Source organism: Homo sapiens, chromosome 19, assembly GCF_000001405.40.
Source record: "Homo sapiens chromosome 19, GRCh38.p14 Primary Assembly".
NCBI classification, from domain to species: Eukaryota; Metazoa; Chordata; class Mammalia; order Primates; family Hominidae; genus Homo; species Homo sapiens.
The window spans coordinates 20431659-20455348 of NC_000019.10; the positions used below are offsets into that span (position 1 = coordinate 20431659).

Sequence of the window (23690 nt, forward strand, 5' to 3'; positions counted from 1 at the left end):
AAGTGCCAATGCAGGCACACTGTGGGTGATCAGGCCACTCTTCCATTCAGATGGGGTGGGGCAAGTTCCAAAGACTAATCTTACCAAGTCAAGCCAAGTCAAAACCAGAACAAAAGTGCCAATACAGGCACACTGTGGGTAATCAGGCCACACTTCCACTCAGATGGAGTGGGGCAAGTTCCAAAGACTAGTCTTACCAAGTTACAGATGTCCAGACTCCAAATGCCAGTTCCTTCTGGGTGTTCAGCCACTGTGTTAATCCTCTGTGGGGACCTGCTACTCGCTGCTCTGGTGAGGTGTTCCGCCAGGGCAATTTCCTACCTGGGAGCACTCTTTGGATCATGTAACTCAGGCTGGCTGGAGTCCCCCGCAGAGATGCTCCACAGGGCAGGCTTAAGCCACCTGAGGGGCTGCCTCAGCTGCCCATCAGTTACCTCATTTCCCAGTCAGAGAACCAAGAAATGTAGCAGGACAATCCGCAGAAAAAAACCTCTCAGACACTGAGTTGTAGAAGGAAGGGCTTTATTCAGCTGGGAGCATCAGCAAGCTACTGCTTTAAAATCCGAGCTCTCCAAATGCACGATTTCTGTCCTTTTTAAAGGCTCACAACGCTAAAGATTTCACATGAAAGGGTCAGATTGATTTGAACAAGCAAGGGGTATGTGACAGGGGCTGCATGCACCAGTGGTCAGGGAGGAACAGAACAGGGCGGGGAGTTTCACAGTGTTCTTCTATACAATGTCTGGAATCTATGAATAACATTGATTTTTAAGTTATGAGTTGATTTTTAACTACTAGGTTTAGGCCAGGCAGGCCCAGGGCTGGTTTTGGGCCTGGCGCCAGGCTGCCTGTCTTTGATTTCACTTCCTTGTTTTTTTCTTAAAACAGGTACTGAGTATAAAACAATAAAACAATATGAGAGGGTCTCTCTCTTCCCTCACCAGAGGGGGCCAAAGTTTTATGAGACATCTCCTCATCTGTGCACAGATGGGTGGCGGACTCTGGAGTCCAGGCTGTTGCTTCCCATTCTAGTGGTGAATCTTCCATAGTCTGGTGAGTGTAAATATATATACATCTCTTTTTCCTTCTCCTATTCCCATTGCAATTTGCTTTTATCAATCTGCTTATTACATTGATTTGCTTATTATATCTGAATTGCCATTTATGTGGGATAAAGTTTGTTTACCCTTAAAGGTATTGTGTGTGTGTCTTTTCTTCTCCCCTTCTGTGTTTCCCACACAGAACATTTTTGTCATTACAAACAGAAATCAAAAACAAAAGTGTGCTGCTTCTTGGCCAGAAGGACAGGGCTGATGGCTACGGGACTTCCCATAACCTGGGATGAGAACTCCCGCAGTTCTCCCCCTTTGTGATCGAATGGTCCAGGGGAACTGACCTTTGTGAGAACTGGGAATCTTAATTAGTGCAATTTAAACCTTTGCCTGTGCATGAAGTGCTGCAGGAGATTCCAGTCAGCAAAGGAGCTGCTGAGTTGATCTCCCGGAGTGGATGGTGTTTGCTTACTGCTTATAAGTTAATGTATCAAGACAGGGGATGGTTGCTACAAGAGAAATGTAAGCTGGAAAAGAAAAATGCTAGTCTGACTTCCAGACTGGCCCTGGCCCAATGCCAGGCCTATGTCTTGACTGATCAGGCTCAAAGATATCCACCTATTGATGAAAAAAGCAGCTGTCCAAATGGCCCCATCATGGTAAAACTGAAGAACTAGTTAGCTAGGCTTGGAGCAGGTAAAAACCCAGCTACTGGCCAGGCACAGTGGCTCATGCCTGTAATCCTAGCACTTTTGGAGGCTGAGGTGGGTGGATCATGAGGTCAGGAGATTGAGACAATCCTGGCAAACACGGTGAAACCCAGTCTCTACTAAAAAATACAAAAAATTAGCCAGGCGTGGTGGTGGCTGCCTGTAGTCCCAGCAACTTGGGAGGCTGAGACAGGAGAATGGCGTGAACCAGGGAGGCAGAGCTTGCAGTGAGCAGAGATTGCACCACTGCACTCCAGCCTGGGTGACAGAGTGAGACTCCGTCTCAAAACAAACAAACAAACAAACAAAATAAGCAAAACCCAGCTCCTGTCTCAAGGATGGGAAATTAACCTTAGTAAAATTCAAGGACCTGCACAAAGTGTACAATTCCTTGACATCTTATGGAATGCAGAGAAATAGCCCATTTTACCAAAGGCTAAGGCTAAAATACCAGAATTTGCAACCCCTAGCACCAAAAAGGAGGACCAGAAATTTATTGGTTTGTTTGGATTCTGGAAACATGATATTCCCCACTTGGGTAACATTTTACAACCTCTGCATGTAGTCACTAAAAAACACTATGACTTTCACTGGGGAGAGAAAGAGAGCATGGCTTTTAACAAGCTAAACAAGTGGTGCAACTGGCCCTGGATCTGTGGCCCATATGGGATGGGCCAGTAGAACTGCAAGTAACTGTCCCAGATCAACCTGCTAATTTGAGCCTTAGGCAGAAACCTTTCGGGTTTGGGACCCAGAAACTGCCAGAGGCTGGCAAAGCTTATACCCCTTTGTAGAAGAAATTGTTAGCTTGTGATTGGGCTTTGCTGAAAAGAGAACACCACTGCTTCAACCTTGATGTCTTTATGAGGCCTGAAATTCCTATCATGGCTTGGTGTCATGAATTCCCCAAAACCCACCAGATAGGACATGCCCAAGGAAGTAGCATCATAAAATGGAAATGGTACATACAAGACCAGGCTAAGCCAAAACCAAAGGGGTTATCACTTTTACATGAGGATGTACGAAACTTGTCCGCTCAAAAAACCACCAAACTATCCTGCAGATAGGAAAGAAACCCCCCCCACAATCCACCCAAAGGGGCCAATCTTTTAAATAACTAAGCCCAAATGATCAGAAACATGCTTAATTTATGGATGGATCCACAAAATACATTGGTGGGACCCAATGCTGGAAGGCTGTGGCTTCTGTTAATCCTGTTAAAACATAAGCATTACTGGCCAGATGCAGTGGCTCATGCCTGTAATCCCAGCACTTTGGTAGGCTGAGTTGGGCAGATCACGAAGTCAGGGGTTCGAGGCCAGCCTGGTCAACATGGTGAAACCCCATTTCTACTAAAAATTACAGAAATTAGCCAGGGTGGTGGTGTGCACCTGTAATCCCAGCTACTCGGGGGAGTGAGGCAGGAAAATCACTGGAATCCCAGGAATCAGAGGTTGCAATGAACCAAAATCACACCACTGTACTCCAGCCTGTGCAACAGACTGAGACTCAATCTCAAAAAGAAAAAAAAAATAACAAACAAACAAAAACATAAGCATTCCTGATGAAGGAAGTGGTGGGAGCAGCCAGTTAGCTGAACTAGTATCCATATTCTAAGCTCTTCAGGAAGAGGCCAGAGAGATCTGTCACTTGTATACCGACTCTTGGTCAGTAGCAAATGGTCTTACTACCTCTATGCTCCAATGACAACAAAACAAATGGCTAATTGGGAATAAAGGGGCTTGGGGAAAACAATACTGGAAAGATATCTCAATCCTGGCACAGACTACCATTATCACTGTTTTCCTTTTTTTTTTTTTTTTTTCTTTAACGCAGAGTCTAGCTCTGTCACCAGGCTGGAGGGCAGTGGCACAATCTAGGCTCACTGTCACCTCCGCCTCCCAGTTCAAGCCATTCTCCTGCCTCAGCCTCCCAAGTAGCTGGGATTACAGGCACACGTTGCCACCCCCAGCTAATTTTTGTAGTTTTAGTAGAGACAGGTTTTCACCATGTTGGCCAGGATGATCTTGACCTCCTGACATCGTGATCTGCCCACCTCAGCCTCCCAAAGTGCTGGGATTACAGGCATGAGCCATCGTTCCTGGCCCTTTTTCCATGTTGATGCTCATGGGTCTCTGCTTTCTTTTGACAGACCATTTAATTAGCAGGAAGATCAACAGGCCAAAATTTCCACCATAACTGTAAACTTGAATGTGCATGAATGGAATACAATGTGTTCAAGCCTTGCAATGAGAGGCATTATAATGTATGGTGCTATAATTGGTAGTGATTACCGGGGAGAGTTAAAGGACATTTTATACAATACCACTCCAGATTTTTTTGCTATAAGACCGCAGATGCCTGTTGCTCAATTATTAGTGGTACCTTGTCAACAATTATCCCGTGAGGAAATCTCTGCCCCAACAGAGGCTACATACAGAATTGGGGGATTCAGATCCACTCCTACAGGTAGCTTAAATCCTGGAGCCAATATATGGATACAGGGTTCAACAGATCCTGCCCCTAAGGCTGGTGACCTTGTAGCTATGAAAGCAGAAAATGAAGGCATAGTACAATTTCCTAAAGATGAAAAACAATATGTTCCCCTCTGTTTTTGTTATTACAAGGAATAACCTATCTACTAATGGTCAGCACCTGTGTCTTTGTGTCTAAAGCCAAGAATAAATTCATTTACTAGGTAGCCACTGCTGCAACAAAAGCCAATCACAGAGAATGTTGGCTGTACATCGAGTTGCCAGAGGCTGCCAGGAATGGGCTACCTTGAAGAATCGTCCCTGACAATATTTCTGAATGGCTATGTCGTTATCAATGGGGCCACAACAACAACACTTGTAATCCAACCTGGACTTCCTTTCACCACACTAAGCAATCTGTCTTTGCCCAGGTCAGACAAAAGGTGAACTCCACCCTCACCTTCCATCAAAAGCCTTGGTATTTTGCCCAATATTCCTGGAACGGTATATATTGGAAACCTGCTGTGCTGGTGGCTGGATTCCACACAGCCCCTGCTTCATCTGGAGGCCTTAAATGGCTCCTCTAATGTTACTCTGGGGTTTCTCCAGACAATTGTCAACACATACTCCAAATCAACAACATTGCCCCCAATGAACCACAATCTCTTTCCTATTTTAATAACACATTAGTACAGTATGTTTACAGTAGGTCCATGGCTGTCCCCTGGGGGGCCCTCTGGGTATGCAGATCCTGTGGGTGTTGGTACCTGCCCCCACACTGGGCAGGGAGATCACTTGTGGGTGGCCATTAATTCCATTCACCATCCGGGATAATATCCCCCTCCCAAGTAATCTGGATGCTTACAAACACCACTGGTTATGAATGTGCCGGCCTCCTTGGTGGCGATACCTTATCACAGTATTCTCCCCTGCCGCTAGAACAATCCTGCTTCACCAACAAATTAAAATATTAAGCTTATATGTAGAAAAAGCTCTTAATGATAGTAGCACTGGACTTATGCTGTTATCAGATGAATTTGCTCAGCTGCGTACTGTTGTGTTGCAAAATCAAATGGCATTAGATATGCTTACCGCAGCCCAAGGAGGGGTTTGCGCCTTACTGCATACTGGATGTTGTGTGTATATCCCTGGCAATTCTCACAATATTAGTCTCCTTGCAAAGCCATGAGTATGTTTTTTTTTTTAAATTGTGCTTTTAATTCTCCTATGCTTACCCTGTATCCATAATCTATGTCAACTATGAGTTCCCCATGTATCTATAACGGTATTTTAATACAATTGAGTACCGAATTGAGGCCGAATGTTGACGAAAAGTTAAGTATTAAATTTGAACTCAATTGAACGTGGACACAAATAAAGGTCACCAAGTCTTGGCACAGGTTGTGTGAGCCCCTTTGAGGCGTTCATTCAGCACTGTTTCAGAGAAGTCTCTATTTCAATCTATTCCTATATGTTAGTTATTGTAAAACAATAGCCAATCACAATAACAAGTTGACCTTTTTGTGTTTCTTGAGCCCAGTCACAAAGGGCCCTCGTGACTGGGCTTCATGCCAAACAACTTGTTACAAGAAGAGCTAGGGTCCCAGACCACACTAAAGCTTCAAGAAACCTCTCCTAGTCTGTGCAAGGACTGTTGGCTGACTCTGGAGCCCAGACTGTTGCTTCCTGGTCTGGTGATAAATCCTCCATAGTCTGGTGAGTGTAAATATATATATATATACACACATATATATATATATTCCCTTCTCCCCTTCCCATTGCAATTTTCTTATTATATAAATTTACTTACTATATCTGCATTGCCATTTACGTGGGATAAATCTTGTTTATCTTTAAAGGTATTTTGTGTGTATGTCTTTTCTTCTCCACTCACTCATTTCCTGCAAAGAACACCATATTTCTCAGAGCCTTTGTTGGTTCCTTTTTATTATTTTTTCTTTAATCGTGTCTGCATGCCTTATTTTAGCAAAGTGGTCTTCAAACTCTGATATCCTTCTTCTGCTTGGTCAGTTTGGCTATTGATACTTTTGTATGCTTCATGAAGTTCTCGTGCTGTGTTTTTCAGCTCCATCAGGTCATTTATATTCCTCTCCAAACTGGTTATTTTAGTTAGCAGTTCCTCTAACCTTTTATCAAGGTTCTTAGCTTCATTGAATTGGGTTAGAACATGTTTCTTTAGCTCAGCAGAGTTTGTTGTTAACCGTCATCTGAAACCTACTTCTGTCAATTCATGCATCTCATTCTCTGTTCAGTTCTGTACCCTTGCTCAAGAGACATTTTGATCATTTGGAAAAGAGGCACTCTGGCCTTTCAGCCATTTTTTGTTGATTCTTTCTCATCTTGAGTTTGTCTAGTTTCAATCATTTGAGGGTGCTGACCCTTGGATGGTTTTTTTTTTTTTTTGGACACAGTCTCTGTCACCCATGCTGGACTGCAGTGGCACCATATCAGTTCACTGCAAATTCTGCCTCCAAGGTTCAAGTGATTCTCATGTCTCAGACTACTGAGTAGCTGGGAATACAGGCATGCACAAGGATGCCTGGCTAATTTTTGTATTTTTTAGTAGAGAGGAGGTTTTACCATGTTGGCCAAAGTATTGGGATTACAGGTGTAAGCCACTATGTGCAGCCTTGGATGAGGTTTTTGTGGGTACTTTTTTTTCTTGTTGATGCTGTTGTTGTTGCTTTCTGTTTGTTTTTCTTTCAATGGTCAGGTCCATCTTCTGTAGGGTTGCTGCAGTTTGCTAGGGTTCACTTCAAGCCCTATCCATCTGGTTCACTCCCGTGCCTAGAGATGTTACTCAAGGAGGTTGGAGAACAGCAAAGAAGAATGTCTGTTCCTTCCTCTGTCATCTCTGACCTCAAGAGACACAAATCTGATACCAGTAGAATTGCTCCTGTATAGGGTGTCTGACAATTCCTATTGAAGGTGGAATGGGGAGCAGATGGGGAGCAGAACCCATTTAATGAAGCACTTTGACTGTCCTTTGGTGGAGGGAGGTGTTTTGCTGTGGGAAAATCCACTCATCTGGGCTGCTTAAATCCCTCAAAACTAGCAGGAGGAAAGGCTAAGTCTGCTGGTCCACAGAGACTGCAGCCACCCCTCCTGCTAGGGTTCTGCTCTGATCCTTGTTATTTCTTTTTTTCTGCTGGGTTTGGGTTTGGCTTGTTCTTGTTGCTCTAGTTCTTTGAGGTGTTATCTTAGATTGTCTACTTATGCTCTTTCAGACTTTTTAGTAGGCACTTGATGCTATGAACTTCCCTTTTAACACCACTATTGCTGTATCCCAGATGTTTTGTTAGATTGTGTCATTATTATTGTTCAGCTCAAAGATTTTTAAAATTTCCATCTTGATTTCATACAACAATCATTCAAAAACAGGTTGATTGTAAATTTTATGTTTTATTTAATTTCCATGTATTTATTTAATTTCCATGTATTTGCATGGTTTGAGGGTTCATTTGGAGTTGATTTTCACTTTTATCCCACTGTAGTCTGAGAGAGTAGTTGATATAATTTTGATTGTTTTAAATTTATTGAGACTTGTTTTGTGGCCCATCATATGTCTGTCTTAGAGAATGTTTCATGTGCTGATGAATAAAATGTATATTCTACAGTTGTTGGTTAGAATATTCTGTAAATATTTGTCAAGACTGTTTGTTCTAGATTATAGTTTAAGTCCTTTTTTTGTTGTTGTTGTCATTGACTTTGTCTTGATGACTTGTCTAGTGCTGTCAGTAGAGTATTGAAGTTCCTCATCATTATTGTGTTGCCATTTATCCCATTTCTTAGGTCTAGTAGTAATTTTTTAATAAATTGGGAGCTCCAGTGTTAGGGGCATATATATTTAGAATTGTGATATTTTCTTGTTGGACTAGTCCTTTTATCATTATGTAATGTCCCACTTTGTCTTTTTCTTTTTTTAAGTGTTTTTGCTTTAAAGTCTTTTTGTCTGATGTAAGAATGGCTACTGTTGCTTGCATTTGGGGTACATTTGCATGGACTATCTTTTCCCAACCCTTTACCTTAACTTCATGTGTGTCTTTGTGTGTTGGGTGAGTCTCTGGAAGACAGCAGATTTTTGGTTATTAAATTCTTATCCATTCTGCTATTCTGTATCTTTTAAGTGGAGCATTAAGGCCACTAATCACTATCAATTATATCACCATACATTATAATGTCTGTCATTGCAAGGCTTGGAACACATAGTAATCCATTCATCCACATTCAAGTTTGCAGTTATAATAAAAATTTTGGCCTGTTGATCTTCCTGGTGATTAAATAGTCTGTCAAAAGAAAGCAGAGACACATAAACATCAACATGGAAAACAGTGATAATGGTAGTGTGCAAGAGGATTCAGATATCTTCCCAGTATTGTTTACCCCAAACCTCTTTATTCCCAATTAACCATTTGTTTCATTACCATTGGAGCATCCAGGTAGTAAGACCATTTACTACTGACCAAGTGTTGGCATACAAGTGACAAATGTTTCTGACTTCCTCCTGAATAGCTCAAAAGACAGCTAACTGGGAGCTAACTGGCTGCTCCCACCCCTTTCTTCATCAGAAATGCTTATGTTTTTAACAGGATTATAGGTCATGGCCTTCCACCATCAGGTCCCACCAATGTATTTGGTGGATGCATCAGTAAACCAAGCATGCCTGTGATCCTCTGGACTTAGTTCTTTAAAGGAGTTGCCCCATTGTACAAGGGAGGTTTCCTTGCCTATCTGCATGACTTTGTTGGTGGTTTACTGAGCTGTCAAGTTTTTTACACCCTCATGTAAAAGTGATAACCCCTTTGGTTTTGGCTTAGACTGATCTTGTATGTACCATTTCCATTTTATGATGCTACTTTCTTGGGCGTGCCCTATCTGATGAGATTGTGTGGAACTCATGACCCAAGTCATAGTAGGAATTTCAGGTCTCATAAAGACATCATGGTTGAAGCAGAGGTGTTCTGTTTCCAGCAAAGCCCAATAGCAAGCTAAGAATTTCTTCTTGAAAGGAGTATAAGGTTTTCCAGCCTCTGGCAGTTTCTGAGTCCAAAACCCAAAAGGTAGCCTCTTCCCATCTTGTTTCTGCCTAAGGCTCCAATTAGCATGTTGATTTAGGATAGTTACTTGCAGTTCTACTGGCATATCCCATAAGGGCTATGGATCCAGGGCCAGTTGACTTGCTTGTTTAGCTTGTTCAGAAGCCATGCTCTCTTTCTCTCTCCAGTGAAAGTCATCGTGTTTTCTAGTGACTGCATGCAGAGGTTGTAAAATGTTACTCAAGTGGAGAATATCATGTCTCCAGAATCCAAACAAGCCAATACATTTCTGGGCCTCCTTTTCAGTGGTAGGGGTTGCAAATTCTAGTATTTCATCTTAGCCTTTGGTAAAATGGATGATTTCCCTGCATTCCATAGGATGTAAAGGAATTTTACACTAGATGCCTGTCCTTGAATTTTACTAAGGTTAATTTCCCATCCTTGAGATAGGAGCTGGGTTTTTACCCACTCTAAACCCCGGCTGCCTAGTTCTTCAATTTTATCCTGATGGGGCCACTGGGACAGCTGCTTTTTTCATCAATAGGCAGATATTTCTGAGCCTTATCAGTCAAGACACAGGCCTGACATGGGGCCAGGGCCAGTCTGGAAGTCAGATTAGAATTTTCCTTTTCCATCTTACGTTTCTCTTGTAGCAACCATCCCCTATCTTGATACATTAACTTATAAGCAGTAAGCAAACACCATCCACTCTGGGAGATCCCATCACCATCTCCTTTGCTGACTGGAATCCCCTGCAGCACTTCATGCACAGTCAAATTTTAAATTGCGCTAATTTAGATTCCCAATTCTCACAAAGGCCAGTTCCCCTGGACCATTCAATCGCCAAAGAGGAAAACTGGGGGAGTTCCCATCCCTGGATATGGGAATTCCTCGAGTTTCCATCCCTGTCCTTCTGGCCAAAAAGCGGCACAATTTTGTTTTCGAATTCTGTTTATGATGCCAAAAATGTTCTGTGTGGGAAACGTGAAAGGGGAGAAGAAAAGACACACACACAATACCGTTAAGGGTCAACAAGTTTTATCCCATGTAAATGGGAATGCAGATATAATAAGCAAATGATATAATAAGCAAATCAATGTAATAAGCAGATTTATATAATAAGCAAATTGCAATGGGAAGAGGAGAAGGGAAAAGATATATGTATGTGTGTGTATATATATATATATTGCCCACCAGACTATGGAGGATTCACCAGCAGACTGGGAAGCAACAGTCTGGGCTTCAGAGTAAGCCACTAGTCTGTGCACAGATGAGGACAGGTCTCATGAAGCTTCGGCACAGTCTGGGACCCTAGATCTTTTGTAACTAGTTGTTTGGCCTAAGGTTCAGTCATGAGGGCTGTTCGTGAATGGGCTCAAGTAACATAAAAAAGTCAACTTGTTTTTACAATTGTCTATTGTTTTTGAACAACTAATATATAGGAATAGATTTAAATAGAGATTTCTCCAAAAGAGCACTGGATTAAAGCCTCAAGGGGCTCACACAACCTGTTCTAGGACTTGTTGATCATTGATTGTGTCCACGTTCAAATGAGTTCAAATTTAATATTTAACTTTTCCTCCACAAATTCCTCTGTCTTGATAAATTGGCTGTGTCTAGGCCATGGGCAAGGTGAACCCCTTGGACAGTTACACAACTCTGCCCTCTGGGTTCAAGCGATTCTCCTGCCTCAGCCTTCTGAGTAGCTGGGACTACAGGTATGCACCACAACATCCAGCTAATTTTTTGTATTTTTAGTAGAAATGGGGTTTCACCATGTTGGCCAGGCTGGTCTTGAACTCCTGACCACAAGTGATCTGCCCACCTTGGCCTCCTAAAATGTTGTGATTACAGGTGTGCGCCAGTGTGCCCTAAATAATTTCTTTTTTTTTTTTTTTTTTTTGTATTTTTAGTAGAGACAGGGTTTCACCATGTTGGCCAGGCTGGTCTCAAGCTCCTGACGTCAGGTGACCCACCCACCTCAGACTCTCAAAAATGATTTCTTTCTATCTCCTATAACAGTTTGAAATTACTTAAAGTTTGTTTCAAGTAGAAAAAATAAAAAGAAAGTGAATAAAAATAAATTGTAGAGTTAAAAATATTAGAAGAAATTACAAAATATGTATGTAAACCTGGAGTGGCCAAAAATCATGAATTTGATTTATTTATAAGGTTTTATTAAAATTAGCTTTAGTGTTGACAATACACTATTACCGAAGTAAAAGTTGTTGAATACATTCAAAAAGAGAGAGAGTAAAAAAGAGATAGGACCCCCATTCAATCGCTAGGAGATGAGACAGCAGCAGAGATGGAAAAGAAACTTTATAAAATTCTTCTGAAATTCTGCCACCTTTCTTCATATTGCTCATGTTTCTCATGCTGAGAGTAGCTGTGCACTTTGGGTGTTTACAGAGAAATTTCTTTTAAGGGAATATATTCTGACTGACTTGATTAAACTTACATCTTGTCAGAGCTTTTTCTTAGGATCTTTTTAACTTTCGTCTCTCAAAATAATCTTGCTCAGATGGAGATCTGTTTTTCTCTCCAATGCTTTTTCTGTTTCAGAAGCCCTATTAGTATCCCATGGTGTCTGAATAAAGTGGGCTGTCACAGTGAGAACTTTTGGAGCTATCACTATCTAGAGACATGCTGGAAATTCAGCAGTATTTTTTCCGTGTCACAATTAAAAGTAGAAACTAAGCCTGAAACACTGCTCCCATTTCCATTATTGTGAAGGTTCAATTCTATCCAGGGGGCCTGCAGGCTCTCCTCCTGCAGCTTAGGCTTAGCTCTCTGATGTGACACTAGAGTGCTGCTGTGGCAAATGAGATTCACATAAAATGTCAGCTGTGCTCTGGGCTGTGCCTCAGTGGCAGATGATAGAGGTCCAGAGAGAACACTAGCAACCAGGAGAAAGCAAGCAGGAATTCTGTAGCCCAGTGCCAGGGAGTACAGAGCCACTGCTCTAAAATGTAAATAGCCAAAAAGATAGAACACTATTAAACCATTTTTGAGGCAGAGTGAAATCCTACCTTCAGCAGGCACCTGGCTTTAAGCTGCTAAACTACGTCCTGTTATGAAGATGTGAAAAGTTTATTTGTCGTTGAATATAAGTAATTAGCATACACAGATGGCCTCTTCAATCTCCAGGTGAATTTAGGATGAACTATGTATGACATGGTGCTGTAAATTCTTCTAATTGTGGACTAATTATGGTGACCATCTTTCTGTCTTTGTGATCTGTTAAACAGATTGACTATGATGCTTGTTACATTCAAGCTTAGTTGTGTAATAAAACCATTTTCTTTCTGTTCTATTACTGGGAAGTTTCTTTGGGGCTGGAGAACGTTTTTTTTCTGTTTCTTTTTTCTTTTTTTCTTTTTTTTTTTTTTTTGAGACAGAAGTCTCACTCTGTTGCCCAGGCTGGAGTGCAGTGGTACAGGTGTGAGCCACCACACCCAGCCCGATTTTTCTGTTAACTATTGTTTCCAAACACTGTCTAGAATTACCAGACATGATATAAACACATAAAATGCCGACCAGAATTTACTCTAGAGGGGATTTTCCTTCTCAGGCTTCCAGTCAACTTATACTTATGCAGCAAAGTGCATGCTGTCCCCTAAATACACAGGCAGAATTGTGTCTCTGCCTATTTGGTATCTATAGTCCTCTACAGTCACTTCTAGAGAGGCTAGACCACATTTCTACAAACTTCACAGGGCAGCAATCAGTCACTTTACCTCTTTCATGGACTCTTGTATGTTCAGACCTGAAACTGATTCAGATACTATGAAGCCCAGAAACTTATTCAGAGTAACATGTGTGCATTGAGTAGACATATACACACGAGAATCTCCACTTTCCCCTTCCTCCTCATGCTAAAATGCCCACAAATGTGCAGGTAAAACCTGCTGCGACTCCAGCAATTCAGACCTTAAATCTACAGCTCCAAATTTTTAATCAAGGTCTTGAGATTTTTATCTTAAGTTCCATTTTATCTGAAAAATGCAAGTCTTTTGGTTATCAAACTCAGAGAGACATTAAAATGAAAGTGCAGTTATGTATTTCTCCCCCCTTTGAACTATGCATTCATCTCTTGAAAGTGTTCACTATTGGCACAAGTAGCTATAAATTAAACAATAATCAATGTTATTTCTGTAAATAAAAATTTCTGAAAAACAACTTTGTATCATCCCAGTCCCTGTCTCTCTCTTGTCTGTAGAAATCCTCTTTTAACTGCTACTAATCAAAGTGTAGATTCCAGGCAACTTGAATCTTTGCTCCCAGATTACAATCCTTAAGTTGACCCAAATAAACTGTCTACTTATATTTATGTTGTGTCAGCTTTTTTTTCTTTTCTTTGAGGCAGAGTTTTGCTCTTGTTGCCTGGGCTAGATGGAGTGCCAAGGCCCTGTCTCGGCTCACTGCAACCTCTGCCTCCTGGGTTCAAGTGATTCTCCTGCCTCAGCCTCCCGAGTAGCTGGGATTACAGGGGCCTGCCACCACACCAGGCTAAATTTTGTATTTTTAGTAGAGAAGAAGTTTCACCGTGTTGGTCATGCTGGTCTCGAACTCCTGACCTCAGGCAATCCACTCACCATGGCCTCCCAAAGTGCTTGGATTACAGGTGTGAGCCACAGCACCTGGCTGCTTTTTTTTTTTTAATGTACACTTATCATTTAGAATGTGCTAGAGGGGCCTCTATGAGGGCATCTCTCCTTTGATTGTACTCCTCTTGCTGTGACACCAAAGGATGCAGAGACAAGTTTATTTTACCTAGAATCTGCAGATAAGGTCTGGCTACTGCCTGGGATTTACAGAAAAGGGCCAAACTTTGGATAGAAAATGTACAGAAAACTAACAAAAGGCATTTTCTGCATTGTGAGATGTCAACATAGATATCTTACAGCCTCCATTTGGGAGTGTGGAATTATGAGATTTTTCACATCTTGTTCATTGACCTGCGACAGTTATGTCAGAGTATCCAGGAGGAAATAGCATCTGATGGCAGAATCTGTAAGTGTAAATAAGCATCTTAGGAGTAAGAGATCAAGGCCACAAAGTATCCAGAGCTATAACCACAACTATGTTTACCTGTAAAATGTGATTTTTGTATTTTACCTGTAAAATGAGTATTTTTTTCTTTCTTTTATGCAAGAGCTAGCAAATCAGGACAGGTAATCCAGGTTCTGGAGCTCCAGCAAGGCAGTTTCATTTTCTATTTAGAATCAGCCTGAGCCTCTCCCGACTGGATTATCATTGGGCTATCAGCTCAGGGTCACTGGGAATTCCTTCAAAATCACCTAGATGTCTTTGAGGTATTTGAGGATGTCCAGAGCAGAATTGTGTCAGGCTGAGAAGAGTGGCTAATTCTGTTTCTGTCTTAGTATAAGAGAAATGAATCATCCTGTGTTTGTTCCTCCCCTCATACAAGAGGTGTCTTCGGTTGGTACCCAGATGAGAATTTCTCCAGTGTCCTGGTATTTGGATGATAAACAAGGAGTAAATCTGGAGGCCCAAATAGATAAACTAGTTTCTTCCATTTTATATGGCCGTTAAAAAAAATACATGAAGCAGTCATGGTTCCTACAATCCAGAAACTTTTAGTCTAGACTAGCAACTGGATAAAAAATTGAATTGTGCATCATATGGTTGGTCCAACAAATAGATGTGTCCAAAATCTTGGGCTTTATTTAGGCCACTTTCTTTATATTGTTGTGACTTCTGATGTCTACATCTGAAGGCATACTTATGAACAGCCTTGTTATTATAATTTCTTTTTCTTGAGACCGAGTCTGTTGCCTAGGCTGGAGTACAGTGGTGTGATCTCAGCTCACTGCAACCTCTGCTGCCCTGGTTCAAGTGATTCTCCTGCTTCAGCCTCCTGAGTAGCTGGGATTACAGGTGCCTGCCACCTCACCCAGCTAATTTTTGTATTTTAGGTAGATATGGGGTTTTACCATATTGGTCAGTCTGGTCTCAAACTCCTGACCTCATGATCCACTGGCCTTGGGCTCCCAAATTGCTGGGATTACATGTGTGAACCACCATGCCCAGCCTTATAATTTCTATTTCTTTTACTTTGCTTAGTGTACATATTTATTTTCTAATAAAATTTCCCTAGAAAGGCCAGGCATGGTGGCTGAAACCTGTAATCCAAGCACTTTGTGGGGGCATAGACAGGTGGATCATGAGGTCAGGAGTTTGAGACCAGCCTGGCCAACATGGTGAAACACCGTCTCTACTATTAATACAAAAATTAGCTGGGCATTGCGGTGCACACCTGTAGTTCCACCTACTCTGGAGGATGAGGCAGAAGAATCACTTGAACCCAGGAGGTGGGAGTTGCAGTGAGCTGAGATGGCAACACTGCACTCCAGCCTGGGCAACAGAGTGAAACTCCCTCTCAAATAAATAAATAAATAAATAAATAAATAAATAAATAAATGAAAAACTAGCCTAGAAAACCTTAAGGGATTTGTTTAAATTGCATATTAGTACATAGTATAAAGTTGACAAAGCAGTGTCTAGAAAAGATTAAAATTACAGAATCTCTGGGATTTAAGTTTCTTTTAGGTAAGCTTAGAAAAAACAAAACTGGTGGTACTTCAGTGGCATGGAGAACAGAATTCAACATAGGGTCCTCACTGCAGTGTCTCAGACCTGTTCAGATTTATCCTTTTTGGAGGCCTTATTTAGGTCTGACTGTACCTTGGAGTCTGGCCTCACAGAACTGAGTAGAAGAGATCAGAGTTTTGGCTGGTGAATCCTGCTGTCTTTCTAGAGCTGGTGTTCACAATTTCCTGAAACCCAAAAGCAGATAAATGGGAAAAATAAAGAATGTATTTTAGGGTCTTAGTTTTTAAAGGCTCTATTAAAACCAGTGCTTGGAGAGACATTCTATTTAGCAACTGGTTTTTTCCCCTGCAGATCCAGTAATTGCTCCACAAGTCACAAAAAAGTAAATATAAAGAGAATAAAATTTTCTCTAAACTACGTTAAACTCTTCCTTTATTATATCTCTTTCACCTGTCTGTATTTAGCTTTTATTCTGTACAATTTTATTAAAAATTTGAGAAAGAGAAATAGAAGAAGAAATAAAAATGCTGGGCCCTTTATCTAAATCCTGGAAATTATTAAACACTGAGTACCAGCCGGGCGTGGTGGCTCTTGCCTGTAATCCCAGCACTTTGGGAGGCCGAGGCGGGCGGATCACGAGGTCAGGAGATCGAGACCATGGTGAAACCCTGTCTCTACTAAAAATACAAAAAATTAACTAGGTGCTGTGGTGGATGCCTGTAGTCCCAGCTACTCAGGAGACTGAGACAGGAGAATGGCATCAACCCGGGAGGTGGAGCTTGCAGTGAGCCGAGATTGTGCCACTGCTCTCCAGCCTGGGCACAGAGCAAGACTCCATCTCAAAAAAACAAAAACAAAAACAACAAACAAACAAACAAAAAATTGAGTACCAGATTTCAGGGCATTATGAGAATTAAATCACATAATATGTTATGCCCAGTACAGTCCTCTGTATCCTAGTTTTGAGCACATAGTACCTGTTTAATAAGCATTGTATTAGTACATGTGTACATGCTGTTTTTTAAATCCAGACTTATTCAGACATTACTGCCTTCTGTTTCCTCTGTAAACTTTAAAGAGACAGCAAAGAATATAAAACTTTAGGATGGAGATGGGTTGTCCATATTTGTACCCAGAAGTGTTTGATTGCGACAAGAGTGCTGAGTGTTAAGAGACCATGGGCTGTGCCTGCTTTCTCTAACTAATGCTAGTAATGAGACAAGGGGAAGCAACATCAGCACTGACAGGGGACTTGTTTAAAATGCCCATTCATGGACTCTTTTCAAACCTGCAGAATCACATTACATAAAGTGGGGCCAAAATTACCAAGTCATTTATAAGCTCGTTAAAGCCTGAGAGGCAATGCTTAGCTTAGTGGTTATCAGCCCAGGCTTCTCATTAGGATCAAATGGCTAATTTGCAGAAATCTCTTGTGCCCTCCCCACAGCTTCTGTTTATTGTTGTGGGTGGAAGGATCCATGTTTTTGAGTGAAGGGCCTCATGTGACTCTAAGGTGAGGCCAGAATCAAGTATGAGGGTTTCAAAATACATTCATGAGCATTAAGTTCCATCTTTGCACTAAACAGCAGTCACAGGGGTGGTGCTGTTTGGATTTGGTAGGGAAAGGTCAGTGTGGCACATATTTGCATTACTGTAGCAGAAATTGCTGGTGTCTCTGGCAGGGGAGGGCACCTGAAGACAGAAAAGGAGAAATTTATATTTTTATCTTCATGGAGCAGCTCATTATTCCTGAACTTCTTCTGTTTTAAATGACAGAAATGGGTGGACTTTTTCTGTCTTTTTCTGCCAGTTGATGTCATGCTAGCAGGTAAACATGTGGTACTGACACCTTTAAAGGCATATTCTCCATATGCAGGTGTAATTTGTTCAGAGAGTCTCATCTGAGAAGGAATTCTAGAGAAGGAGGAGAAAGAAAAAAAATGGCTTTTCTTCAGGTAAACATGTGTCAGATGAAGAGCTATGTCCACTCTGCCTCCTGGACTGCCATGCATTTAGTACCCACAAACCTTTACTTCTCTACTTGTGTTTTTCCTCCCTAATGATTTTGATTTAACTACTTCTTAAAATTCTTATGATAGTCAAGGGTCTCTGAAAAATATTTTTTTCCTATATCCCAGAGCCCTCCCTACATTCTCTACATCATAGCTTCTTATATGTCATGCAGGATTATCAGCAAGAATTTATGATCTGCAATATTAAAAATATTCCCTTTGTGGCTGTTGAACATGAAAAGATGTGGATACTCAAGATTTCTACTGGAGAAAACTGTGGTACTTAGTAAAGATGGAGAACATGTAATGTTACGGCTCCATCTGTGTGTTCCATTAGCTCTATGCAGAAGAAGATTAAGAAAATCCTTATTTAACTGGGATGACATTTATTACTCAGAAAGTTCTGAAAAAAAATTAGGAGATATCTGCTCTCTAGGGTGGCAAATGAAGCCTCCTTAAAATTACTACTAACAATTACAGAACATAGGAGTTATTTGTATTTTGAAGTTTCCATAAAACTGATGTTTCTTTATGGTTAAATTCAGATTCTATTTACTTTTTTGGGGAAAGAATATTTCAACAGTGATGCTGTGTTCTCCTGTGTGCATTAGCACGTCATAAAAATTTGTCCTCCTGCAGTTAATGATTAATGAATCACTTAGTGAAATTGCTGACAGATTTTTTTTTACTATGGAGTTAATTAGTTTTCTCTTTATTAGTAAGTATCTTTATGCAGCTGATGTGCATAAATGATCACATTTAATCTGGCAGCTGTCTTTTTTTCTTATGTTTTTCTACATATTTTTCTTTGGTAAATGAAGGCTCTTAGTTTTGTTTACAGGCTTGAAAAACTGGGAAAAATACCGACTCTTGCACTTACTGAATATTTGACAAAATATCCTTCTTGGGACAAAAACATTGGCATTACTGGTGAGCTTGTTAGAAATTCAAAAAATTGGCTGAGCATGGTGGCTCATGCCCGTAATCCCAGCACTTTGGGAGGCTGAAGTGGGTGGATCACCTGAGGTTGTGAGTTCGAGACCAGCCTGACCAACATGTAGAAACCCCATCTCTACTTTAAAAAAAAAAAAAAAAAAAAAATTAGCCAGGCGTAGTCACGCATGCCTGTAACCCCAGCTACGCAGGAGACAAAGGCAGGATAATTGCTTGAATCCGGGAGGTGGAGGTTGCAGTGAGCCAGATCATGCCATTGCACTCCAGTCTCAGCAACAAGAGTGAAACTCTGTCTCAAAATAAATACATTTAAAAATCAGACTTTATACCAGATCTTCTGGAAAAAAAAAAACCCTGCAAAACAAGGTCTTCAGCTTATTCTACACATCAAAATTTGAGAGGTGCTTTCTAACTCAACATGTCTTTTCCATCTGAAAAATATTCACAAGTCATTTTGTATGATGTAAATATAGCACTCAAAAATATACATGTTTGTGTTCATGTCCTTAATTTTATACTTTATTATCCAGAAAAATATCATTATATGAACTGATCTTGTGGATATTATGCTGCTCTTTTTTCTCAGAGATAGAGAATACATTAGAAAATATTTGTGTTGAAAATTATTTTATTGGATAATTTTAGTCAGTCCTATAAGTCAGAATGAGTGCTCTTTACTCTCTCATTTCACCTTAAGTCAAATTAAAAATTCCGCTCATGGCAACTTAGTAAAAATGTGTGTGTGTGTGTGCTTTACAGTGACCACTGCAATTTAGGGATGTGGCTATAGAATTCTCTCTGGAGGAGTGGCATTGCCTGGACACTGCACAGCACAATTTATATAGGGATGTGATGTTAGAGAACTACAGACACCTGGTCTTCCTTGGTGAGGATAACTTGAGTACATAATTCATAATATATCCTAAAGATTTTATTTCTCTTTTTATTTTTATTTTTTGAGATGGAGTCTCACTCTGTTGCCCAGGCTGGAGTGCAATGGTGCAATCTCTGCTCACTGCAACCTCAGCCTCCTGGGTTCAGTGATTCTCCTGCCTCAGCCTCCCAAGTAGCTGGGATTACAGGTGACTGCCACCACGCTCGGCTAATTTTTGTATTTTTAGTAGAGATGGGATTTCACCATGTTGGCCACACTGGTCTCGAACTCCTGACCTCAGGTGATATGCCCGTCTTGGCCTCCCAAAGTGCTGGAATTACAGGCATAAGCCAACATGCTCAGCCTATTTCTCTTTTTTGTAGAATGTTTTTAGACCTTTATTCTTTGCATAAAAAACTTTCAGATCCCCTTTTTCCAGAAAATCTTCAAAATTTGTTCATTTATTAAAGAATTTCTTCAAGATGTTTCATCTTAATCCAAACTTTCCACATTCCTGAGTTGAGCTGTATTCTTCACTCTAAATTAGTGGTAATTCCAGAAATTTAGTGGCATAAAATATTTTTGTCCCCACCTGAAAATCGAATTGCCACCACCAATTTTTGATTCAGCAGTACCAGGTAGTAAAATTAAGAAACCCACAAATTGAAAGTATTTTCTAAATATTTAGAAATTTCTGTTATAACTTAGTATTTTGCTATTAATTTGCTAGAATATTTTATCACATTCTCTCTGCTGAGCACATTACTAGCTTGTAATTGGAGAATATGAGAAAAATTTATGTATTTATTTTTAATAAAACAGGTATTGTTGTCTCTAACCCAGACCTGATCACCTGGCTACAGCAAGGAAAAGAAACTTTGACCATGAAGAGACAGGTGATGATTGCCAAACACACAGGTAGGTGTTTTTTTTGCTCTCACAAAGGGGCATCTTCTGTCTTATGCTTTTAAATTCTCTAAGGATTCTGCTTTTCTTTTGGTGAGCTTCCTTCAAGTTCACAGTGAGAGCCAATGTCCTCTTCATGGCATAGAAGAGACTGCACAATCTGACTGCTTTTCCATTATTTTGGGGACACACAAATATCTGCATGATGTTGAGAAACTAAAACTATGTTTTAAGTTCCCTTTTTTCATCAGGTTTGAAATGTGTGAAAGTAGTAGTTTCTGTTGCATTTTTTTGTTCATTTTTCTGCACAGTCCATTCTGTTTTTATTATTATGTGGCCTTGAAATATAGTTTCAAATTATAAGTATGATATCCTTCTGCTTTGTTCTTTGTCTTCATGATTGCTTCGGCTATTCAAAATTTATTTTAGTTTCATGTAAATTTTAGAATTGTATTTTCCATTACTGTGAAAAAAAACCACAGCAATTTTGATAGGAAGTTTATTGAATCTATAGATTACTTTGGATAATATGGCACTACAATAATATTTATTCTTTCAAGCCATAGACAAAATATTTTAAAATTTATTTGGATCTTCTCTAATTTATTTATTTTTTTATTGTAAAAATGTTTTACCTCCTTGGTTAATTTTTTCCTCAGAAATTTACTAATTAATGCTCTAGTAAATAAACGTTTTTCTTTATCAGACAGTTTAAGTGCATGAAACCATACATACACTTGTATGTTAATTTTATATTTTGCTGATTTACTGAGTGTATTTATTAGTTTAGATAGGCTTTAATGTACTGTTTATAGTTTTTTAAATGTATGATTGTATGACCTACAAACAGCAACTTTTTACTCATTTTTCAATTTCAATGGTTTTTTTTAAATTTCTTTGACTAATTCTTCTGTTACATACTTCCAGTGCTACATTAAAATAGAAGAATTGACAAAGGGCACAATATAGTTTTGTATTGGTGTCTGAATTTGATGGAGCAGACACCTCTTCAAGTTTTTGTAAACTGATTTTAGATTGTAAAGATCTTCTTTTATTGGTTCCTTAGGGTGATGAGATGCCATCTGAATTTGTAGTGAAGAGGGATTGTAGCTTGGTCACAAGGCTGCTAGGTCTGCACTAGGGTTCACCCTTAGTTGGCTTGTTACAGGGGCTTGGGTTGTTGTAATTCCCATTTTATTTTTGGACAGACTAAATATCCTTCAGTACTTTTCTCAGTAGGGCAGGCACTACAGCATGTTTTTGCAGTCGAGTCTGCATATGCTGGGCCTTAAATCAGGATGTGGATGAGTGTGGCTTTCATGAGTATGAGAGAGCATTTCCTCAGGTAACTGTGTGGGTTTCTATGCAGGAAGAACTGATCATAAACTGTGGCTCAGGTAACTGAAACTGAGTCATTGAACCACTTCAGGGACCTGAGTAAAGGCCAAGGTCTGCAGACCTGCCTGCATGGCTGTAAATAGGTGCCTTCCTCTGGGTCTCTAGAATGGCAGGACCTCTCCCAGACAGTGGCTGGGAGGAGTTTGGGACGGTTATATGATAAGTTCAGAATTCTCAGAATCTCAGTTTGGGACCAAGTTGGGTGAACTCTATCCTGGTCTGTAGCCATAAACAGGAATCCTGCACTTTCCCACCTAATTGAGGGCCTGCTTTCTGAGTAGAACACTTTTCAATCCTAAGCTTTAACAGAGTTTCATCACTCCTTCCCTGGATCTCAAATCTCTCTTACAGGCACTTATTTTGGAGATGGGGTCTTGCTACATAACCCAGGCTGGTCTCAAAATTCTGGCCTGAAGCAGTTTTTCCACCTTAATGTACGATGTAGCTGTCATTACAGGTGTGAGCCATAATGCCTGGTTCTCTCATAAAGGCATTTTTGTCAGGGATGGCTGACATTATTTTGCTGTAAGGGGATATGAATGTAGGGGACTTTTAATCTTTTCATCTTACTGATGTCACTCTCCCTATACATTTTTACTTTCCATTTTCTATTTCAAATTTTTCTGTAATTTTAGATTCAGATATTTAGGACAATATGCTAGAATTTGCATGGTATGCCTGATGTAGTTAGAAAATTAGTAGGTACTCCATATTTACTAAAAGAGTTACTTATAAATGTAAGTTTGCTACAGGCAAAAAAGAATTATAGGATTTTCATCTACTTTCTTCAGCCTATATATAAATAATAACATAGTTTATTTCCCAATATTTGTTTTACATATCAGAGGATCTAATTCTATTCTGCAATATATACATGTATATTTTCTGTCTTTAACAATGTAAGACTATTCTTTGCTTCTAAAGTTAGAATACAGCAGTTTCATTTTGTGTAAGAATAACATATTCAAAACATAAAACTAACTCTAGTTTTTTTAAATGCTTATTTATTAAAAGTTTCTCATTAGAATCTTCTATTTATGATTATACTGCATATTTTCTGAAATTTTACTGCCACACAGTGCATGCCAATGATTCAAAATACCTGCATTTAATGAGTACACAGTAACAGCTAAATATTGCAGTTACCCAGACAAATTTTTTTAAATTATTTTTTTGAGATGGACTCACAGCCTGTCACCCAGGCTGGAGTGCAGTGCTGCAATCTTGGCTCACTGGAAACTCCACATCCTGGGTTCAAGCAGTTTTCATGCCTCAGCCTCCCAAGTAGCTGGAATTACAGGTATGTGCCACCACACCTGGCTAATTTTTGTATTTTTATGTGAGATGAGGTTTCATCACGTTGGCAAGGTTGGTCTTAAATTCCTGACCTCAGGTGATCTGCCCGCCTCAGCCTCCCATAGTGCTGAGATTACAGATGTGAGCCAATGCACCCAGCCTGACAAATTCTTTTTAATGATACATCAATGTTGCATACCAGGTTTTATGAGTAAACTCTTCTCTTATTATTGTTTTGAAGTTTCACATTAGTGTGTTTCTTTAATGAAGGTTTCTGTTTTTTTGGGGGGGACAGAGTCTCACTCTGCTGCCCAGGCTGGAGTGCAGTGGCATGATCTCAGCTCACTGCAACCTCTGCCTCCCAGGTTCAAGCAATTC

The 23690-nt window shown here is 40.1% G+C and overlaps 1 long non-coding RNA gene and 1 pseudogene across 2 annotated transcripts; one reads left to right on the forward strand and one right to left on the reverse strand.

Annotated features, from left to right (window-relative positions):
* The first annotated feature begins 749 nt into the window (after positions 1–749).
* Positions 750–23233, forward strand: LOC105372317 (uncharacterized). Of its 2 annotated transcripts, none has more exons than XR_936409.3 (3): positions 750–1053; positions 20535–20630; positions 23195–23233. It is a non-coding gene; the product is annotated as an uncharacterized LOC105372317 (long non-coding RNA). The 2 variants fall into 2 exon arrangements; XR_936410.3 differs by lacking the exon at positions 750–1053 and adding an exon at positions 5556–5952.
* On the reverse strand, positions 11555–12089 carry BNIP3P23 (BCL2 interacting protein 3 pseudogene 23; annotated as a pseudogene).
* Positions 23234–23690: the final 457 nt, after the last annotated feature.